Source organism: Homo sapiens, chromosome 8, assembly GCF_000001405.40.
Source record: "Homo sapiens chromosome 8, GRCh38.p14 Primary Assembly".
NCBI lineage: Eukaryota > Metazoa > Chordata > Mammalia > Primates > Hominidae > Homo > Homo sapiens.
In genome coordinates this window covers 68,742,055-68,761,429 of record NC_000008.11, presented here as the reverse complement: position 1 = coordinate 68,761,429, position 19,375 = coordinate 68,742,055, and the positions used below count along the sequence as shown (strand labels likewise).

Sequence of the window (19,375 nt, the reverse complement as noted above, 5' to 3'; positions counted from 1 at the left end):
CTCAAAATAAGGGAGCACTGCTCTAGAGGAGTAATAAAATATGAGTGGGAGCAGGAAGTTTCAGGAAAGAACTGTTGCCTGAAATCCTGAGGGCAAGGTACAGTAGTGAGCTACAGAAGGGGTTCCCCACTGGGGAAGAAGTGGCTCCATATTCTGATACCAAATTTCTGTTGTGGTCTCTTCCTAAAGTTCTAAAGCTGGGCCACCACATTGAGGCAGATTGGTAGTGAGGGGATAGAATTAGATTGTCCCTTGTTTCTCATAATTATAACCTTGTTGCATTTAATTTGGGAGAAGAAGGTGGAAAAGTATTCAGATAGCCTTGCTTTTGACTGTGTCATCATCTGAATCAAGGTAAGGAAATTGGCCTTTATCCAGTACCGGCTATAGACCAGGCATATGTACTGCTACTCTCAATATTCCTGCCAAGGAAATACTTCTATTTTACAGCTGTAGAAGCTGAGACGAAAAAGATTCCAAGGTAGAGCTAGGAATCCATAGCCTATGGTCTTCTAGAAGACAGGAAATGAAACCAACCATTGTATTAGTCAAATTAAATATTTAAACAGTGATAGAGGCTGATTTAAACTCACACACTGGACTCCTAATCCAGTTCTCCTTCCATTATCTCAGGTAGATATTTTCCACTTCTTAGTTTTGCTACTCCAGGGTCAACCCAACAAATTATTTACATTAAACCTCAGTGTAAATTATTATGGACAAATGAACTCCTTGAAAATATACATAAAGTCATTTAAAGGAAAAAAAACCTACTGTGAGTTATGAAATCCTTTGTTAGGCTCTTATGAGAATTTAATAAGTAATATTGCAAAGAGTCTCATGCTCAGATAAATTAGTTCATTTCTGCCAGGAGGAAGAAGTAGGCACAAGGGTTTGAATCATTCAGTGTCTCCTCCAAGCTTCCAGAATATAAACACATTATTCAACACTCCCTGGAAATCAAGCTCCAAATTGGATTTGGACATGAGATTGGGTCTGAATCCTTTTTTTCTGACACTCATTTATTAGGTATGTGTGGCCTCTGAGGCAAGTCACTTCAATTTTCCAAGTCTCTCTTTCTCAGTTGTAAAGACACTACAACTAAGAATGCTTTCGATTGAAAGAATTAGAGGCAATACCTATAAATCACAGAGCTAGGCACTGGAGAAATGATTCTCATTTTCATTATGACCTGCCACTCCAACATCACGGCCCCCCATCACCTAATTCTCCAGCTGTGCTGACCTGTGGGTGGCCTCCGCAGGCTGTCCTCCGCCTGTGTTGTAATGACTCTTCCCAGCAACTCCCTTCACTATCAAGCCACAGGCCAACTTCTCCAGGAAGCTATTTCTGATCATGCTCCACCCTGCAGCCTACTTTGTGTGCCTCTGCCTCTCCTAGGCATGCCATGCATACTTCTGTCACAGCACTTCCGTACTCTCACAAACATCTGTTCATTCAGCTGCCCTTCCTGTCATACTGTAAGTGCTTTAATGGCAATGAGTATATCTTTCATTTCCAGATTCCCAGTACCTCACAGGATTTCACCATAGAAAATGCTTAATAGATGTTTGTGGAATGAATGGATGCACTAAGCCTAGAAAGTGAATATAGCATGTTCTTTCAATGCTATACTAAATTATTTTTTGAAAATAGTTTTATCCATCAATCCATTCAAAATCCTACTTAAGAATTCAGTGAATTTTAAACAAACATGCATCCTGCAAGATAATCTGAAAGGTAGTCAGAAAAATCAAGGATAACTTTCTTTACATTTTTGACTAATATTCAAACAAACACACCACTTATTCATTCCCACATGTATATGTAAATTCAGTAGACCCCGACAAGGTACTTCTTGGCATTCTGTAATTCTTTCACAGCTAAGAAATCTTTTGAGAGTTCACTGTTGAGAAAGCTCTCACTTTTGGCAGGCTGGAAATATAAGTCCCACACCAGGAGAAACTGAAACAATGAGGATGAATGGGGTGGGTGTGTGAAGAAACAAGAAAACACAAAATTGCATTTTGCTAATTTCTGATCCTTCAGCATAAAGAAAGACTAGATCCTCTACTGTTGTTTTTATTTGAATGAGGATGGAATAACTTCTAGTTAACAGATGTTAACTTTAAATTAAATTGTAGTTAAATTTAACTTTAAAGTTAAATAGATGTTAACTTTAAATTAAGTTGATAATTTAATATTTTTTTCTTCCTGTAAGTAAAATGAATGTCTATATAATGGGTAAAAAATGTGACTTGGATATACATGTGCAAAGATTTGGTTAGAATGATTAAGAGGAATATGGTCTGTGTGTATATATTTCATATGTGTGTGTGTTTGTGTATATGTATGTATGTGTCTACGTATAATTTTTTAAGATCATTTCCTTTGAAAGTTCAGGTGCTCTTTTTGGAAATGCAAATAGTTAAAGCTAAACTAACTAGTTCTTATCTTTATCATAATTGTAAGAAATGACAGTAAGATCACAGCTGTGCCAGTTGCTAAGAATGATTATAGGAAAAATAAGTATAAATCCAATTGCTTTTACTGCTGAGTTTAGAACAATTTTTATCCATTGAGGAAAGTCCGGACCATTTAGTAAGGAAGTCTACTTATTAGATATAATACACTATTTAAATGGATATGCCTATAAGAATCATAAAAAAATAAAAACAAAGTCCAAGGGAATAATGTACAGTCTCTATATCATCTCTGCTTGAGATGTAAGAAGTGCAGTTCTGCAAAGCCCCCAGGTTCCCACGCAGAAAGCAAGCCGCCACGATCCCTTATAACTCTTCCTGCCAGAGTTTGGACTAAAGTTAGCTGACTTGAAAAGCTTAATTAGAGATAGATAGTCCTTAATGATGGGACTATACTCCCTGATTTCTCAGAACAAATGTAAATATGTTCATATATCACTTGTTTCTAGAGAGGATATTTTGGCCTGGTGTTCCCAGCCAAGACCACTGCAGACTAAGGAGTACGGCTTGACCTTAACTTCATAAAAGAACCATCCTGTGCTACTGACCTGATTCTGGCTTAGCTTGAGAATTTGCTGTTATACTACTATGGGGTGGACTACCAAAATCTACTGACCCACAGAAACAAAATAAACAATTCCACATGAGATGAGGAGAAGTTACTCAATTTTACTGTTTGTATAAAGCAGAGAAAATTTTTAAAAATATATGAGCCATTTGTTTTGCCTTCTTTGCTGCTGTCCTAGCAGTGGGCATCCTAGACTGGCCAAATTTCATGTTTATGTCATTATTTCCTCAAACAGAGTGGAAACTCATTATGGACAAAGGCGGAGTCTCATTGTAATTGCATCCCCGATGCCATCAGTGTGCCTGGCACACAGCAGGCACGCAGTAAATATTTGCTGACTGACTGAACGTGTACTTTGTTGGGCTATTCCAATCCAAGAATCCAGGAGAATCTGGAACAATTGTGAATGAGTTACATACCTGCCATTTTAAGCACTTTACATATCTCAATTAATCCTTCCTAGAACCATATAAAGTTGATGTTATATGTTTTATGAGTAAAAATAGTAAGCTCAGAGAGACTGTATTACTTGCCCAACATCTTAGAGCTAAAAAACCAAGCCAGATTTGACCATGGGTCTCTGGAACTCCACAGTCCACATTCTATCCATTGTACGTTATGTTTACTTCTCAGAAGAGAATCAAAATTCAGCTTGGCCTAAATGTAAATTTTGCACCTACTCTTTACATGTTCACCACAATATTCCCTATAAGCAACATTTTTGTGCTTTATTTATTTATTTATTTATTTATTTTTTTGAGACGGAGTCTCACTCTATTGCCCAGGCTGGAGTGCAGTGGCGTGATCTCGGCTCACTGCAGCTTCCGCCTCCCCGGTTCAAGTGATTCACCTGCCTCAGAAGCTGGGACTACAGGCGCCCGCCATCATACCCGGCTAATTTTTGTATTTTTAGTAGAGACGGGGTTTCACCATGTTGGCCTGGCTGGTCTTGAACTCCTGACCTCAGGTGATCCGCCCGCCTCAGCCTCCCAAAGTGCTGGGATTACAGGCATGAGCCACTGCGCCCGGCTAACATTTTTGTTTTTAATCTTTCGCACTTGTTAAAGTGAGCTGGTTAACATCCGTCACTGACCCACTGCCTCCAGAGTCCTCCATTAGATAATCTGGAGGGACACAGGACCTGCAGAGCTCTCTTGTTGAAAGCACATGGTTTAATCTTCATTTTGAAAGTTGGCTTGAAGGATCCTGATCATAAAAAAAAAATAAATAATTTTTAAAGTTGTGTCTTTTCTCAGTTGCACAGCAAGACTTTAAAACGGAATCAAATTTATTTTCAATCTAACAATGCCATTCAACTATGAAATGCAAGTGTGCTAAGATACCTTTTTTTATCTTGTGAAGGAGGAATTGTTTTAATTCATGAATAGTATACTTGGTAGGCATCTAATCACCCTATGTGTAAATCATTTATTAACCCATCTGTCAACTGTGTTTAACTAAATAAGAGTTCTCTTTCATCTTTAAGAAGAAATATCCATATGGGAAGCTCTAGATTTTCATAGAGCAACAAGCTAGTCCTGTTTAAAATCATATCAATCAACACAATCTAAATTATTGAAAATATTGATCAGAATATTTATTTACTGATACAGTTTTTGGCATGTTTTCGTGTACAGATTTACTCCCTTACCAGTCTTCTTTTGATGAACATACTTTAACATTTTTCCAATTTATAAATCAGTGATTTATAAATTGGAAATTAAATAAATTGGAAATTAAAAAGCAAAACTAAACAAACTCAGAGTACTTAAGTAACATATTATTTAAGCTTTCATACTTTTTTCTTTCTTTTCTTTGAGTACCTCCTTTCCATCCTTAAAGTTTCCATTTATAATTAAAATTGTCCTCCCACCCCCTACCCGTTACTTCAGAAGTATACACTTCCGATCAACAGAATGCCCAGCAGAGGTGCTTAGCAAATGCTGGTTGGATGAAAAATGAATGAATGAGTTAGTGTCACAGTGCATTTTCTAGAATCATAGGCCAGAAGTTCAGTAGAGTTACACTTTTCAAAATAGAGTGAATTAGTACATAATGGAATTAATTCTGTGTAAGTGATCTATAGCATCAGAGCATTTATATCCCTTTGAGGCTGCAAATGTAGGAAAAATAAAGTCCCTGAATCCTGTTTCCTCATTCAAGCACACATTCTGTGCCAGGGTACTGTATTCAGCACAGGGGCCATCAGACATAATTTAAAGAGCAAGGCCACTGGCGGCTCTCATATGCACTGTCCATCTACATTTGGGAGTCACTCTGGTTTTTTTTTTTGTTTTTTTGTTTGTTTTTTTTAGATAGAGTCTCACTCTGTCGCCCAGGCTGGAGTGCAGTGGCGCAATCTCGGCTCACTGCAAGCTCCGCCTCCCGGGTTCACGCCATTCTCCTGCCTCAGCCTCCCGAGTAGCTGGGACTACAGGCGCCCGCCATCACGCCCGGCTAATTTTTTTTTTTTTGTATTTTTAGTAGAGACGGGGTTTCACCTGTTAGCCAGGATGGTCTCGACCTCCTGACCTCGTGATCCACCTGCTTCGGCCTCCCAAAGTGCTGGGATTACAGGCGTGAGCCACCGCGCCTGGCCAGTTACTCTTAGTTTTAAGCCACAAATATATTTGTACACGAAGTGACTTCTTAGAATGTGAAGGATACAGTTCCCCCTAGTTACCTAGGTGGCTTGGACAACCATAGGAGGTTGGACGTCTACACAAGAGAAGGCAAGGTATTAGAATTAAGAGTGGAGGTTGTAGCACCATGTGACCTGGTGTCAAAACCTGGCTCTGCTCTTCCCTGGCTGTGTAATCTTCAAAGATTACTGAGCCTCCCGGCAGCAGTTTCTACAACTGTAAAATTGGTATCAGATATCTACTACATAGGATTGGTATGAAGATGTTACAAAATATCTATGAAGAACATAGCATAGTCATGAGCAAATAATAAATTTTCCATATATAAAAGGCAACACCTTTATAATGCTGGCTTATTACTCTATTACTATTATTACTGAAACTGCCATTATGCCAGTTTCTTCTGTTGGAGTCCACAGGGAATTAGAGCAGACTCAAAATTTTCAGTGTCAGGAAGACACTCACATAATCCGGAATACAACTTTCCCTCATCACTGAATCTTGACAGTTCTTCTAAGGTTGAACTTGGGCTTTAGTTTGAATGCAGTGGCCCTGTTGTCTTCTAGAAAGATCTTATACATGCTTAGTACAAAATATTTACTGCAAGTCGAAAGGAAGAAATTTGAAATAGTGTGAATATTTATAATGACATAGGACACATTATTTCATCAGAATAAGCAACCAAAAAAATGTGTCCTAGTTGTGCTATAAAATTTTCAGTTTTGTAGTGTCCAGAAATTTCCTACAAGGCTAAATATTTCTAAGCTTTTGAATACAGAAAAATATATAAGTATACTATTTACTAATCAAAGGTTACATGGCCACTAAAAAAAATTCCAATGTGTCTATCCTATGTTTAACCAAAGTTAATAGATATATATAGTACAGTTGCCCTGAAAAATTTGTTCTACCTCAGCTTTTCATATACAGGTAGACATTTTATATAAACAATTCTAAGTGTACTTTTTCCGTGACTGGTAATAGACTATGATACCCATGTCACCTTCAAAGTTTTATAAAGTAGAATTTCAGAGGTAGAGACTTTTAGAGTGGTCATCGTATTTCTGTCTTCTTAAAAATCCCAGAAGTCATTCATGCAAATAGTACAGCTTCATTTAGCTCAGACGTTAATTCACTGTGGCTGGGACAGCCTTGGGTATTCTTCCCAGGCTCTAGATTTATTCAAGGCCCAGGGAAATTTGGATGGGTTCAGTTTACTTAATGTCTTCTTTGGCCTCAAGCTTCCAACCTTCACCTGCTGTTTAACATTCCTTTCTAGATTCTTAAAAACCCTGTTTACATCGAAAAGGAATGTTATGCCTCAATACAAAGTAATCATGAAAGAACATACTTGTCAACTTCATTCCTGGTAGCAGATTTTGGCTTCTTTTCTCCACTTTGAACTAAGGTAGCAATTTTGCATAGCTTTAGAAGAAATGTAAAAGTAACGCTTTCAGGATACACTTTTTCAGGATTTTACTTTTTCTAAGGTCAACAGTATGTTTTATTAGTTTACAGTCTGATTTATTAGTTTGGTTTTTCTCATACCATAATGTGATCCATGTAGCTCTGCATTTTTTAAACACTTTGTTGAACTAAATTGCTCCCGGCCCTTTTTTATTTTTTAAGTGATTTTTTTTTCCAGTTAATCCATTCACAAAATTGCTTGAAAGAACATGGTAACCAAATGCTAGACATCAACTACAGATACTGGTACTTGCACAGAATGTGGGAGGTTCATTCTCAGAGCTTCTTGCTCCTGACTAGAGCATGACTTGACCTCTCCAGCAGCCACTGAAAGGGCTTGGCACCAATGACTGTGACTCTATTCCTGGCCAGGAGCAGAACACACACCAAGAAATGTCATGCAGGGGCCATGCATGACAGATCAAAGTGATTAGTCAATTTCAACAATATGGAGGATGTTATTCACACATCAGAATTCTCTTTATCATGTTTGAAACCACATTCCTCAATGAAAAACGGTTTTCAAAACATAATTTGTAGGACAGGGCCTATCTCAGTAAACTACATTAAATTCTAAAAGAGGGTCACATAAAATGTAACTGAGGCTGGACTCCTAGTTTCCTGTTTTCCTTATGCTGTTACTTTGTAAATCTAGAAGGAGATACTGTGCTACATTAACTAGTGAAACAAATGCTAAAAACAATTTCTGTGATAACAAAGATCAAGTTCAATCCTCCCTTGAAATCTTATCTAACTCTTCCAATCTATGGAAAGCTCTCCTATCTCTAAACTGACATTATGTATACAGTCTACATCATACAATTTACTTAATGGTTTTCATCTTAGTGCATTTAGATAATTTTCCTTAGAGAACCATTATGTTTTTAAGGCTAAAACCATTTCACTTTCCACTTTTTTTCTACAAGGCTTCATGCAATCGGTTTAGTGAGAGGGGCCATGTTAGCAACTTAATATTTATTATCTCAGTTGATTAAAAAAGCAGGGTCAAGTTGTGTATTAAATTTAATATTCAGCACTCACAATCACATTTATATGATCCAAGAGTGCTCATTATTTACAAAACAGTGATCATTTCCTTTATCTACGAGAACATGTTTTCAATATTGCTGTGTTATGACCATAAAATATGCTGTCATTTTCTTTTAAGCTTTCCTTCAAGGACAAAATAATGTGTGGCAATACAGAGCTTCACAAGATACTGCCTGTCATTTTTAAAAATCAACAACATTTTCTGGTGGATTGGGAGGAAATTAGAACCATACGATTCTCAAAAAGACCTACCTACAAATATATGGATGGTTTCTTGATATTCAAAAAAACACAATTCAAGAGCTAACTAGAGAGAAATCCTGGCCTAAACATAAAAAATAAAGTTAAAATTAAGAAACATTTTTCCAACTCAACCAGCTGGTCTCTGATCTATGAAGTATAGAATTCCACCGCTATTTTATACAAGAATGGGAGAAAAATTCCCCACATTAATTCAAGTCGGAAAATACCAGTCACCCATTATATACACAACCCTATGGAAAACTCTCGAAGGACACAAATTCCCAGTACTTCCACTGCGCATCCACAACGAAGCTTGCTGGTGAGGCCCTAAAAGAAGTCACTTGTCAGTTTTTATAGCATCATTTTCTATATTTCCTATCTGAATTCTTAGTATCAGTGGGACATGGTAAAAGTTTAACAACCAGTTCTCCAGAAGAAAATTAAGGCTCTTAAAGCATTTGTTGATTTCTGTGGAATAAATCCTCCCATAGGGCTGATTTCAAGGTACCAATGTGATGTCATTGTATAAAGTTGGGGAAAGATGGCCCTACCCAGCCAGGGAGCCATACCGCCTGGTTCCAGCACAGTAGAACCAGGTCAAAGGGAAGGTCCCACAGGATGAGCAATGAACTTACAAGTATAAGTCATGCCAGGGGACTAATTAGAAAAGTTTAAGGAGTTGTTGGCTCATAGAATTTGAAGGCAGGGAAATTTAATTTAATGAGACATCAGCACAATCTGTGGAAGGTAAAAGGAATCAAATTTTGATCACTCTAAATGAGGAAGAACTGGAAGAACTCTCTTACAAGTTTAACAGAGATACGTTCCCTCTCTTAAAGGAAGTCTTAGTTTCTTTTAACCTGGAGAAGTTAAGGAAATGTTGGAAGACTTCTTAATATTAGATGGTTGAGAATTCAACTGCTGTTAGAGTTCTCCACATTCTCTGAGCCTATGAGGCTGAAACTGCAATTAAACTAAAACATAAAAATCTTAATGCTTTCATCTTATGATCTGAAGAAAGTTCATGCACTGTGGGTATGTATATATAGATGAACTTATACAAGAGATTTTGAGTTTATTTGTAATATAATAATTTTTTAAAATTCAAATATATATTTTATATTTTATAAATATAAATTTTACTATTAATTTCCCAAACGTCATAATAAAATAATTCATATATTTCTTATAACCCCTATAGTCTATCTGCAGGCTTAGAAGTGGTTTTCATTAGTTTGTTTGTCATATTTTTTGTTTACTTCACTTAGTATGGCCAAATACTTCTCAAAGTAATTTCATGTTTTTCTAACAACTATTGGTAAATCTGTATTTCAAATAAATCCTAACCCACAGCATAAGAGGCTGACTGTAATTTAAGCCTCTTATCCCTCAATACTGTGTGGTGTATAAGAGTTTTAACTTACTATTGAGATTCTATAAAAAACCACTTCACGCAACCTACATTTTTCTATTAAGACTCACCAAGTATTAAGTCCTTTAGCCTTTGCAGTCTTTTCAAGCACAGGGGTGAGCTGGTCCACTTGGTCCTTAAAGTAATTTAAAAATAACAATCCTTCTCTGAAACTTGTTGCTGTCCTGGCAGTCAACTCTAATGCCACCCTTCAATATTAAGACAAGGTTCTACTTGAAATACCATGTAATTGAAATTACAAGCTCTGCGTTCTTCCTGGCAGTAAGCCAAAATATTTGAAATCAGCTTATAGTAAGCATATATTGAGCTAAGAACTGTCATGTTACAATATGGGATTCATTATGGTCATTGTTCCAGTTTACCCAGGGGTCCACTAGCGTTAAACACAACGTGAATTTCCTAAAACTCTGAGATATTCAATAATAGAGTCCCTCTCCAGGTCCTTCTGCCTTCTTTGATAATAATGCTTTGTTTTGCTATTCTTTTGTGCACGGTGCCTTCCAGCTAGAATACGCTCAAACAATTTTGGAACAACAAAATACAGTGTAAAATCCACAGGCTTTAGAGTAAAAGAGAATATCTCTTAACTCCCGGTTTCAGCATTTATGAGCTCTGTGACTATGAATGTGTTAATCTTTTAGAGCTTGTGTTTCCTAGTCTTAAAAATGGAATTAACAACACCTGCCTAGTTGGAGTACTATAAAAATTAGAAATAATGTCTGTAAAGCTCCTAGAACAATGCATGGACATGGTAGACACTGAATTCAGGAACTATGAGGATGACTAATTGATTCTAAGAAAGCATCATTTCCCTAAGCATTCTGATTCTCCAAAAGCAGTGTACCAAAGCAAATTAATCTCTATTCATGTGGATTTTAGACTTTCTGTTTGCGGATCACACACAGCTTTTTTTATTATGGTAAAATGCACGTAACATAACATTTACCGTTTTATATTTTAAAGTTAAGATTGAATGGCATTAGGTACATTCACAATGCTGTGCAACCATCACAACTATCTAACTATAGAAATTTTTCATCACCCCAAAAGAAAACCTCAAATCCATTAAATACTCACTTCCCTTTTTTCTTTCCTCCCTGGCCCCTAGAAAACCCTAATCTACTTTCTGTCTCCGTGAATTAGCCAATTCTGGATATTTCATGTAAATGAAATCATAGAATATGTAAGCTTTTATGTCTGGCCTCTTTTACTTAGTGTAATGTTTTCAATGTTCTTCCATGTTGCAGCATGCAATAGAACTCTATTTCTTATGACTGAATAACGTTCTCTCATATAGTTTATCCATTCATTAGTTCATGTATGTTGGGTTATTTACAGCTCTTGTTTATTATGAATAGTGTTGCTATGAACAGTTTTGTAAAGGTTTTTCCTCAAATACCTGTTTTCAATTTGTTTGGATATATTCCTAGGAGTGGACTTGGTAGACTATTTGGTAATTCTATGTTTCACAACATTAATTTTGTTCCCTTAAGAATTGCAAACTAGAAATGTTAAGTTAAATATAAATCTGTCATATGACCCAGCAATTCCACTCCTAGGAATCTCTCATGAGAAACAAAAACATGTCCACAGAAAGATTTGCATAAAAATCTTTATAGCCACACTATTAATACTAGCCCAGTATTAAAAACAATCCAAATGTCCACCAACTCATGAACAGACGTACAAAATGTAGTGAATCCAAACAGGGAGTACTAGTATTCATCAATAAAAAGCAATAAACTACTTTTTCCTATGTAACATGGTCATACTGCAACATGGCTGCAACATGGATGAACCACAAAAACATTATTTAAGTGAAAGAGGCCAGACCTAAAATAACATATACAGTATTATTCCATTTATATGAAATTTCTAGAATAGGCAAATGTATAGGAACAGAAAGTATATCAGTGGCTTCCTGGGTCTAAGAGCAGACATGGATATTATTAACTATAAATAGGCATGAGGAATCTTGCTGGGGTGATGACAGTGTCTTCAAACTGCATTATGATGATGGTTTCACAACTCAGAAATTTAAAAATGTTTATTATATACTTAAAATGGGTAAATTTTATTTTATTTTATTATTTGCTTTTATTTTGTGCTTTCTATTTGTCCTTTCTGTTCTGTGTTTCTTTCTGTCTTTTTTTTATTATTATATTTTAAGTTTTAGGGTACATGTACACAATGTGCACGTTAGTTACATATGTATACATGTGCCATGCTGGTGCACTGCACCCTCTAACTCGTCATCTCGCATTAGGTATATCTCCCAATGCAATCCCTCCCCGCTCCCCCCACCCCACAACAGTCCCCAGAGTGTGATGTTCCCCTTCCTGTGTCCATGTGTTCTCATTGTTCAATTCCCACCTATGAGTGAGAATATGCGGTGTTTGGTTTTTTGTTCTTGCGATAGTTTACTGAGAATGATGATTTCCAATTTCATCCATGTCCCTACAAAGGACGTGAACTCATCATTTTTTATGGCTGCATAGTATTCCATGGTGTATATGTGCCACATTTTCTTAATCCAGTCTATCATTGTTGGACATTTGGGTTGGTTCCAAGTCTTTGCTATTGTGAATAATGCCGCAATAAACATACGTGTGCATGTGTCGTTATAGCAGCATGATTTACAGTCCTTTGGGTGTATACCCAGTAATGGGATGGCTGGGTCAAATGGTATTTCTAGTTCTAGATCCCTGAGGAATTGCCACACTGACTTCCACAATGGTTTAACTAGTTTACAGTCCCACCAACAGTGTAGAAGTGTTCCTATTTCTCCACATTCTCTCCAGCACCTGTTGTTTCCTGACTTTTTAATGATTGCCATTCTAACTGGTGTGAGATGGTATCTCATTGTGGTTTTGATTTGCATTTCTCTGATGGCCAGTGATGGTGAGCATTTTTTCATGTGTTTTTTGGCTGCATAAATGTCTTCTTTTGTGAAGTGCCTCTTCATGTCCTTCGCCTACTTCTTGATGGGGTTGTTTGTTTTTTTCTTGTAAATTTATTTGAGTTCATTGTAGATTCTGGATATTAGCCCTTTGTCAGATGAGTAGGTTGCAAAAATTTTCTCCCATTTTGTAGGTTGCCTGTTCACTCTGATGGTAGTTTCTTTTGCTGTGCAGAAGCTCTTTAGTTTAATTAGATCCCATTTGTCAATTTTGGCTTTTGTTGCCATTGCTTTTGGTGTTTTAGACATGAAGTCCTTGCCCGTGCCTATGTCCTGAATGGTGATGCCTAGGTTTTCTTCTAGGGTTTTTATGGTTTTAGGTCTAATGTTTAAATCTTTAATCCATCTTGAATTGATTTTTGTATAAGGTTTAAGGAAGGGATCCAGTTTCAGCTTTCTACATATGGCTAGCCAGTTTTCCCAGCACCATTTATTAAATAGGGAATCCTTTCCCCATTGCTTGTTTTTCTCAGGTTTGTCAAAGATCAGATAGTTGTAGATATGCGGTGTTATTTCTGAGGGCTCTGTTGTGTTCCATTGATCTATATCTCTGTTTTGGTACCAGTACCATGCTGTTTTGGTTACTGTAGCCTTGTAGTATAGTTTGAAGTCAGGTAGTGTGATGTCTCCAGCTTTGTTCTTTTGGCTTAGGATTGACTTGGCGATGCGGGCTCTTTTTTGATTCCATATGAACATTAAAGTAGTTTTTTCCAATTCTGTGAAGAAAGTCATTGGTAGCTTGATGGGGATGGCATTGAATCTATAAATTACCTTGGGCAGTATGGCCATTTTCACGATATTGATTCTTCCTACCCATGAGCATGGAATGTTCTTCCATTTGTTTGTATCCTCTTTTATTTCCTTGAGCAGTGGTTTGCAGTTCTCCTTGAAGAGGTCCTTCACATCCCTTGAAAGTTGGATTCCTAGGTATTTTATTCTCTTTGAAGCAATTGTGAATGGGAGTTCCCTCATAATTTGGTTCTCTGTTTGTCTGTTATTGGTGTATAAGAATGCTTGTGATTTTTGTACATTGATTTTGTATCCTGAGACTTTGCTGAAGTTGCTTATCAGCTTAAGGAGATTTTGGGCTGAGACAATGGGGTTTTCTAGATATACAATCATGTCGTCTACAAACAGGGACAATTTGACTTCCTCTTTTCCTATTTGAATACCCTTTATTTCCTTCTCCTGCCTAATTGCCCTGGCCAGAACTTCCAACACTATGTTGAATAGGAGTGGTGAGAGAGGGCATCCCTGTCTTGTGCCAGTTTTCAAAGGGAATGCTTCCAGTTTTTGCCCATTCAGTATGATATTGGCTGTGGATTTGTCATAGATAGCTCTTATTATTTTGAAATACGTCCCATCAATACCTAATTTATTGAGAGTTTTTAGCATGAAGTGTTGTTGAATTTTGTCAAAGGCCTTTTCTGCATCTATTGAGATAATCATGTGGTTTTTGTCTTTGGTTCTGTTTACATGCTGGATTACATTTATTGATTTGTGTATATTGAACCAGCCTTGCATCCCAGGGATGAAGCCCACTTGATCATGGTGGATAAGCTTTTTGATGTGCTGCTGGATTCGGTTTGCCAGTATTTTATTGAGGATTTTTGCATCAATGTTCATCAAGGATATTGGTCTAAAATTCTCTTTTTTGGTTGTGTCTCTGTCCGGCTTTGGTATCAGGATGATGCTGGCCTCATAAAATGAGTTAGGGAGGATTCCCTCTTTTTCTGTTGATTGGAATAGTTTCAGAAGGAATGGTACCAGTTCCTCCTTGTACCTCTGGTAGAATTCAGCTGTGAATCCATCTGGTCCTGGACTCTTTTTGGTTGGTAAGCTATTGATTATTGCCACAATTTCAGATCCTGTTATTGGTCTATTCAGAGATTCAACTTCTTCCTGGTTTAGTCTTGGGAGGGTGTATGTGTCGAGGAATTTATCCATTTCTTCTAGATTTTCTAGTTTATTTGCGTAGAGGTGTTTGTAGTATTCTCTGATAGTAGTTTGTATTTCTGTGGGATCGGTGGTGATATCCCCTTTATCATTTTTTATTGCATCTATTTGATTCTTCTCTCTTTTTTTCTTTATTAGCTTGCTAGCGGTCTATCAATTTTGTTGATCCTTTCAAAAAACCAGCTCCTGGATTCATTAATTTTTTGAAGGGTTTTTTGTGTCTCTATTTCCTTCAGTTCTGCTCTGATTTTAGTTATTTCTTGTCTTCTGCTAGCTTTTGAATGTGTTTGCTCTGCTTTTCTAGTTCTTTTAATTGTGATGTTAGGGTGTCAATTTTGGATCTTTCCTGCTTTCTCTTGTGGGCATTTAGTGCTATAAATTTCCCTCTACACACTGCTTTGAATGTGTCCGAGAGATTCTGGTATGTTGTGTGTTTGTTCTCATTGGTTTCAAAGAACATCTTTATTTCTGCCTTCATTTCGTTATGTACCCAGTAGTCATTCAGGAGCAGGTTGTTCAGCTTCCATGTAATTGAGTGGTTTTGAGTGAGATTCTTAATCCTGAGTTCTAGTTTGATTGCACTGTGGTCTGAGAGATAGTTTGTTATAATTTCTGTTCTTTTACATTTGCTGAGAAGAGCTTTACTTCCAAGTATGTGGTCAATTTTGGAATAGGTGTGGTGTGGTGCTGAAAAAAATGTATATTCTGTTGATCTGGGGTGGAGAGTTCTGTAGATGCCTATTAGGTCCACTTGGTGCAGACCTGAGTTCAATTCCTGGGTATCCTTGTTGACTTTCTGTCTCGTTGATCTGTCTAATGTTGATAGTGGGGTGTTAAAGTCTCCCATTATTAATGTGTGGGAGTCTAAGTCTCTTTGTAGGTCACTCAGAACTTGCTTTATGAATCTGGGTGCTCCTGTATTGGGTGCATATATATTTAGGATAGTTAGCTCTTCTTGTTGAATTGATCCCTTTACCATTATGTAATGGCCTTCTTTGTCTCTTTTGATCTTTGTTGGTTTAAAGTCTGTTTTATCAGAGACTAGGATTGCAACCCCTGCCTTTTTTTGTTTTCCTTTTGCTTGGTAGACCTTCCTCCATTCTTTTATTTTGAGCCTATGTGTGTCTCTGCACGTGAGATGGGTTTCCTGAATACAGCACACTGATGGGTCTTGACTCTTTATCCAATTTGCCAGTGTGTGTCTTTTAATTGGAGCATTTAGTCCATTTACATTTAAAGGTAATATTATTATATGTGAATTTGATCCTGTCATTATGATGTTAGCTGGTTATTTTGCTCATTAGTTGATGCAGTTTCTTCCTAGTCTCGATGGTCTTTACATTTTGGCATGAGTTTGCAGCGGCTGGCACCAGTTGTTCCTTTCCATGTTTAGCGCTTCCTTCAGGAGCTCTTGTAGGGCAGGCCTGGTGGTGACAAAATCTTTCAGCATTTGCTTGTCTGGAAAAGATTTTATTTCTCCTTCACTTATGAAGCTTAGTTTGGCTGGATATGAAATTCTGGGTTGAAAATTCTTTTCTTTAAGAATGTTGAATATTGGCCCCCACTCTCTTCTGGCTTGTAGGGTTTCTGCCGAGAGATCCGCTGTTAGTCTGATGGGCTTCCCTTTCAGGGTAACCCGACCTTTCTCTCTGGCTGCCCTTAACATTTTTTCCTTCATTTCAACTTTGGTGAATCTGACAATTATGTGTCTTGGAGTTGCTCTTCTCGAGGAGTATCTTTGTGGAGTTCTCAGTATTTCCTGAATCTGAATGTTGGCCTGCCTTGCTAGATTGGGGAAGTTCTCCTGGATAATATCGTGCAGAGTGTTTTCCAACTTGATTCCATTCTCCCCGTCACTTTCAGGTACACCAATCAGACATAGATTTGGTCTTTTCACATAGTCCCATATTTCTTGGAGGCTTTGCTCGTTTCTTTTTATTCTTTTTTCTCTAAACTTCCCTTCTCACTTCATTTCATTCATTTCATCTTCCATCGCTGATACTCTTTCTTCCAGTTGATCGCATCGGCTCCTGAGGCTTCTGCATTCTTCACGTAGTTCTCGAGCCTTGGTTTTCAGCTCCATCAGCTCCTTTAAGCACTTCTCTGTATTGGTTATTCTAGTTATACATTCTTCTAAATTTTTTTCAAAGTTTTCAACTTCTTTGCCTTTGGTTTGAATGTCCTCCCATAGCTCAGAGTAATTTGATCATCTGAAGCCTTCTTCTCTCAGCTCGTCAAAGTCATTCTCCGTCCAGCTTTGTTCCGTTGCTGGTGAGAAACTGCATTCCTTTGGAGGAGGAGAGGTGCTCTGCTTTTTAGAGTTTCCAGTTTTTCTGCTCTGTTTTTTCCCCATCTTTGTGGTTTTATCTACTTTTGGTCTTTGATGATGGTGATGTACAGATGGGTTTTTGGTGTGGATGTCCTTTCTGTTTGTTAGTTTTCCTTCTAACAGACAGGACCCTCAGCTGAAGGTCTGTTGGAGTACCCAGCCGTGTGAGGTGTCAGTCTGCCCCTGCTGGGTGGTACCTCCCAGTTAGGCTGCTTGGGGGTCAGGGGTCAGGGACCCACTTGAGGAGGCAGTCTGCCCGTTCTCAGATCTCCAGCTGCATGCTGGGAGAACCACTGCTCTCTTCAAAGCTGTCAGACAGGGACATTTAAGTCTGCAGAGGTTACTGCTGTCTTTTTGTTTGTCTGTGCCCTGCCCCCAGAGGTGGAGCCTACAGAGGCAGGCAGGCCTCCTTGAGCTGTGGTGGGCTCCACTCAGTTCCAGCTCCGGGGCTGCTTTGTTTACCTAAGCAAGCCTGGGCAATGGTGGGCGCCCCTCCCCCAGCCTTGCTGCCGCCTTGCAGTTTGATCTCAGACTGCTGTGCTAGCAATCAGCGAGACTCCGTGGGCGTAGGACCCTCCGAGCCAGGTGCGGGTTTTAATCTCCTGGTGTGCCATTTTTTAAGCCCGTCGGGAAAGCGCAGTATTCGGGTGGGAGTGACACAATTTTTCAGGTGCCATCTGTCACCCCTTTCTTTGACTAGGAAAGGGAACTCCCTGACCCCTTGCGCTTCCCGAGTGAGGCAATGCCTCGCCCTGGTTCGGCTTGCGCACGGTGTGCGCACCCACTGACCTGCACCCACCCACTGACCTGCACCCACTGTCTGGCATTCCCTAGTGAGATGAACCTGGTACCTCAGATGGAAATGCAGAAATCACCCGTCTTCTGCGTCGCTCATGCTGGGAGCTGTAGACCAGAGCTGTTCCTATTCGGCCATCTTGGCTCCTCCCTTGTAAATCTTATAATACCTAAATTATGCCTCAACAAAGTTGTAAAAGCAATTACATAGGAGAAAATGAAAAATAAAAAAACATGCTATTCCTCCTTCTTATCCATTGCTACTCTAAGTCCATAAATTCATCATCATACTCAAGAAAAACAGGTTTCTAACAGGTGTCCTTGTCATCTTTCGAATTGTTCTCCACTCAAATTTAACTACCTCAAGTCACCACCAGATTATTCCTCCTAATAATAGGAGAGCTGGACTTAAATTCAATAGAAATCATGGCTGTGAATGGAATTAGTCAGAGAGAGTGTGCAAGATGAGAATAAAATAGGGACCAGAAGTATTGGTTAACGTCAAAATTTCAGGGGAAGACAGGAAGATGTCTAGCAAAGAAGACTAAGATGGATGGTCAGGAAGCCAGATGATCAGAAGGGAATGGGGTCTAAGAAGACAAAAGAAGCAGGAACTTCAGGAAGAAAAAGTGGTAATTAACCTTATCAATTTCCACAGAAGGATGAAATAAAATGAAGGCTGTAAGGAGTTCACTGGATTTTGATATGTAGAAATATATTTTCACTTTTGCAATGAATTAACTCATTAGTGAGAAAGAAGCTGTGTCTTTCTTTTCTAAGATGTTGGTGAAAGGGCAGAAGACAGGTAAGGGCAATAGTAGCTAAAGGTGGAAAATGAAATCATTTGTACATTTGTTTGCCATTGAAAAATGCTTGAGAATGTCCATAGCCTGCAGGAAAGTCGAAAGAGAAGTGTTAAAAATACAGCAAAAGACAAAGAAGTACATTTTTAGAAATGGGGAGAAAGGATTCTATCAAGAGCCAACCTGGAACACGATAATTTAAACCTCTTCTGAGACTGGATGAAAACAAATGAGAGGGGCTGCTTACACAGATGAATACAGGCTTATGGATGTTAAAGGACTTTACACCTGAGGGACCCAAGTTTTGTTTGTTTGGTTTTACTTGCTTGATAGTTTTATTTTTTCTTGAGAAGTAGGAGGCTAGGATCAGGTTTGGAATAATTGGTAGGGAGAATAAGATACATATTGAGGGCAGATTAAAACTGGACATTAGCAGCAAAGGAAGGCTAAATGGAGAGTCATTGATGAAATGCACTGTTCAGGGACTGGCCGGATAAGGCAGCCATAAGGAGGCAATGGCTTAGGGCCTGGAGTTCTTAGGGAAATCAAAGAAGAGGAAGAGTGGGACTGATGGAGTTAGAAAATGAAAAGGAGGGTATTACCACTGACACGCTGGAGTTCAAGTCCAGAAGAAGAATAAAACTAGGT

At 38.2% G+C, this 19,375-nt stretch overlaps 1 protein-coding gene across 9 annotated transcripts in view, besides 2 other annotated features; it reads right to left on the bottom strand.

The window, feature by feature from the left end:
• Nucleotides 1-19,375, bottom strand: part of C8orf34 (chromosome 8 open reading frame 34) — a 488,651-nt gene that overhangs the window by 57,594 nt on the left and 411,682 nt on the right. The window lies entirely within an intron of this gene.
• Nucleotides 1,242-1,743: an enhancer, noted in NCBI's record as "NANOG hESC enhancer chr8:69671922-69672423 (GRCh37/hg19 assembly coordinates)". NCBI's record gives its function as "activates a minimal SCP1, AML or CMV promoter by ChIP-STARR-seq in primed H9 embryonic stem cells {active_cell/tissue: H9 hESC(primed)}" and the evidence as "EXISTENCE:reporter gene assay evidence [ECO:0000049][PMID:30033119]".
• Nucleotides 17,176-17,734: an enhancer, noted in NCBI's record as "NANOG-H3K4me1 hESC enhancer chr8:69655931-69656489 (GRCh37/hg19 assembly coordinates)". NCBI's record gives its function as "activates a minimal SCP1, AML or CMV promoter by ChIP-STARR-seq in primed H9 embryonic stem cells {active_cell/tissue: H9 hESC(primed)}" and the evidence as "EXISTENCE:reporter gene assay evidence [ECO:0000049][PMID:30033119]".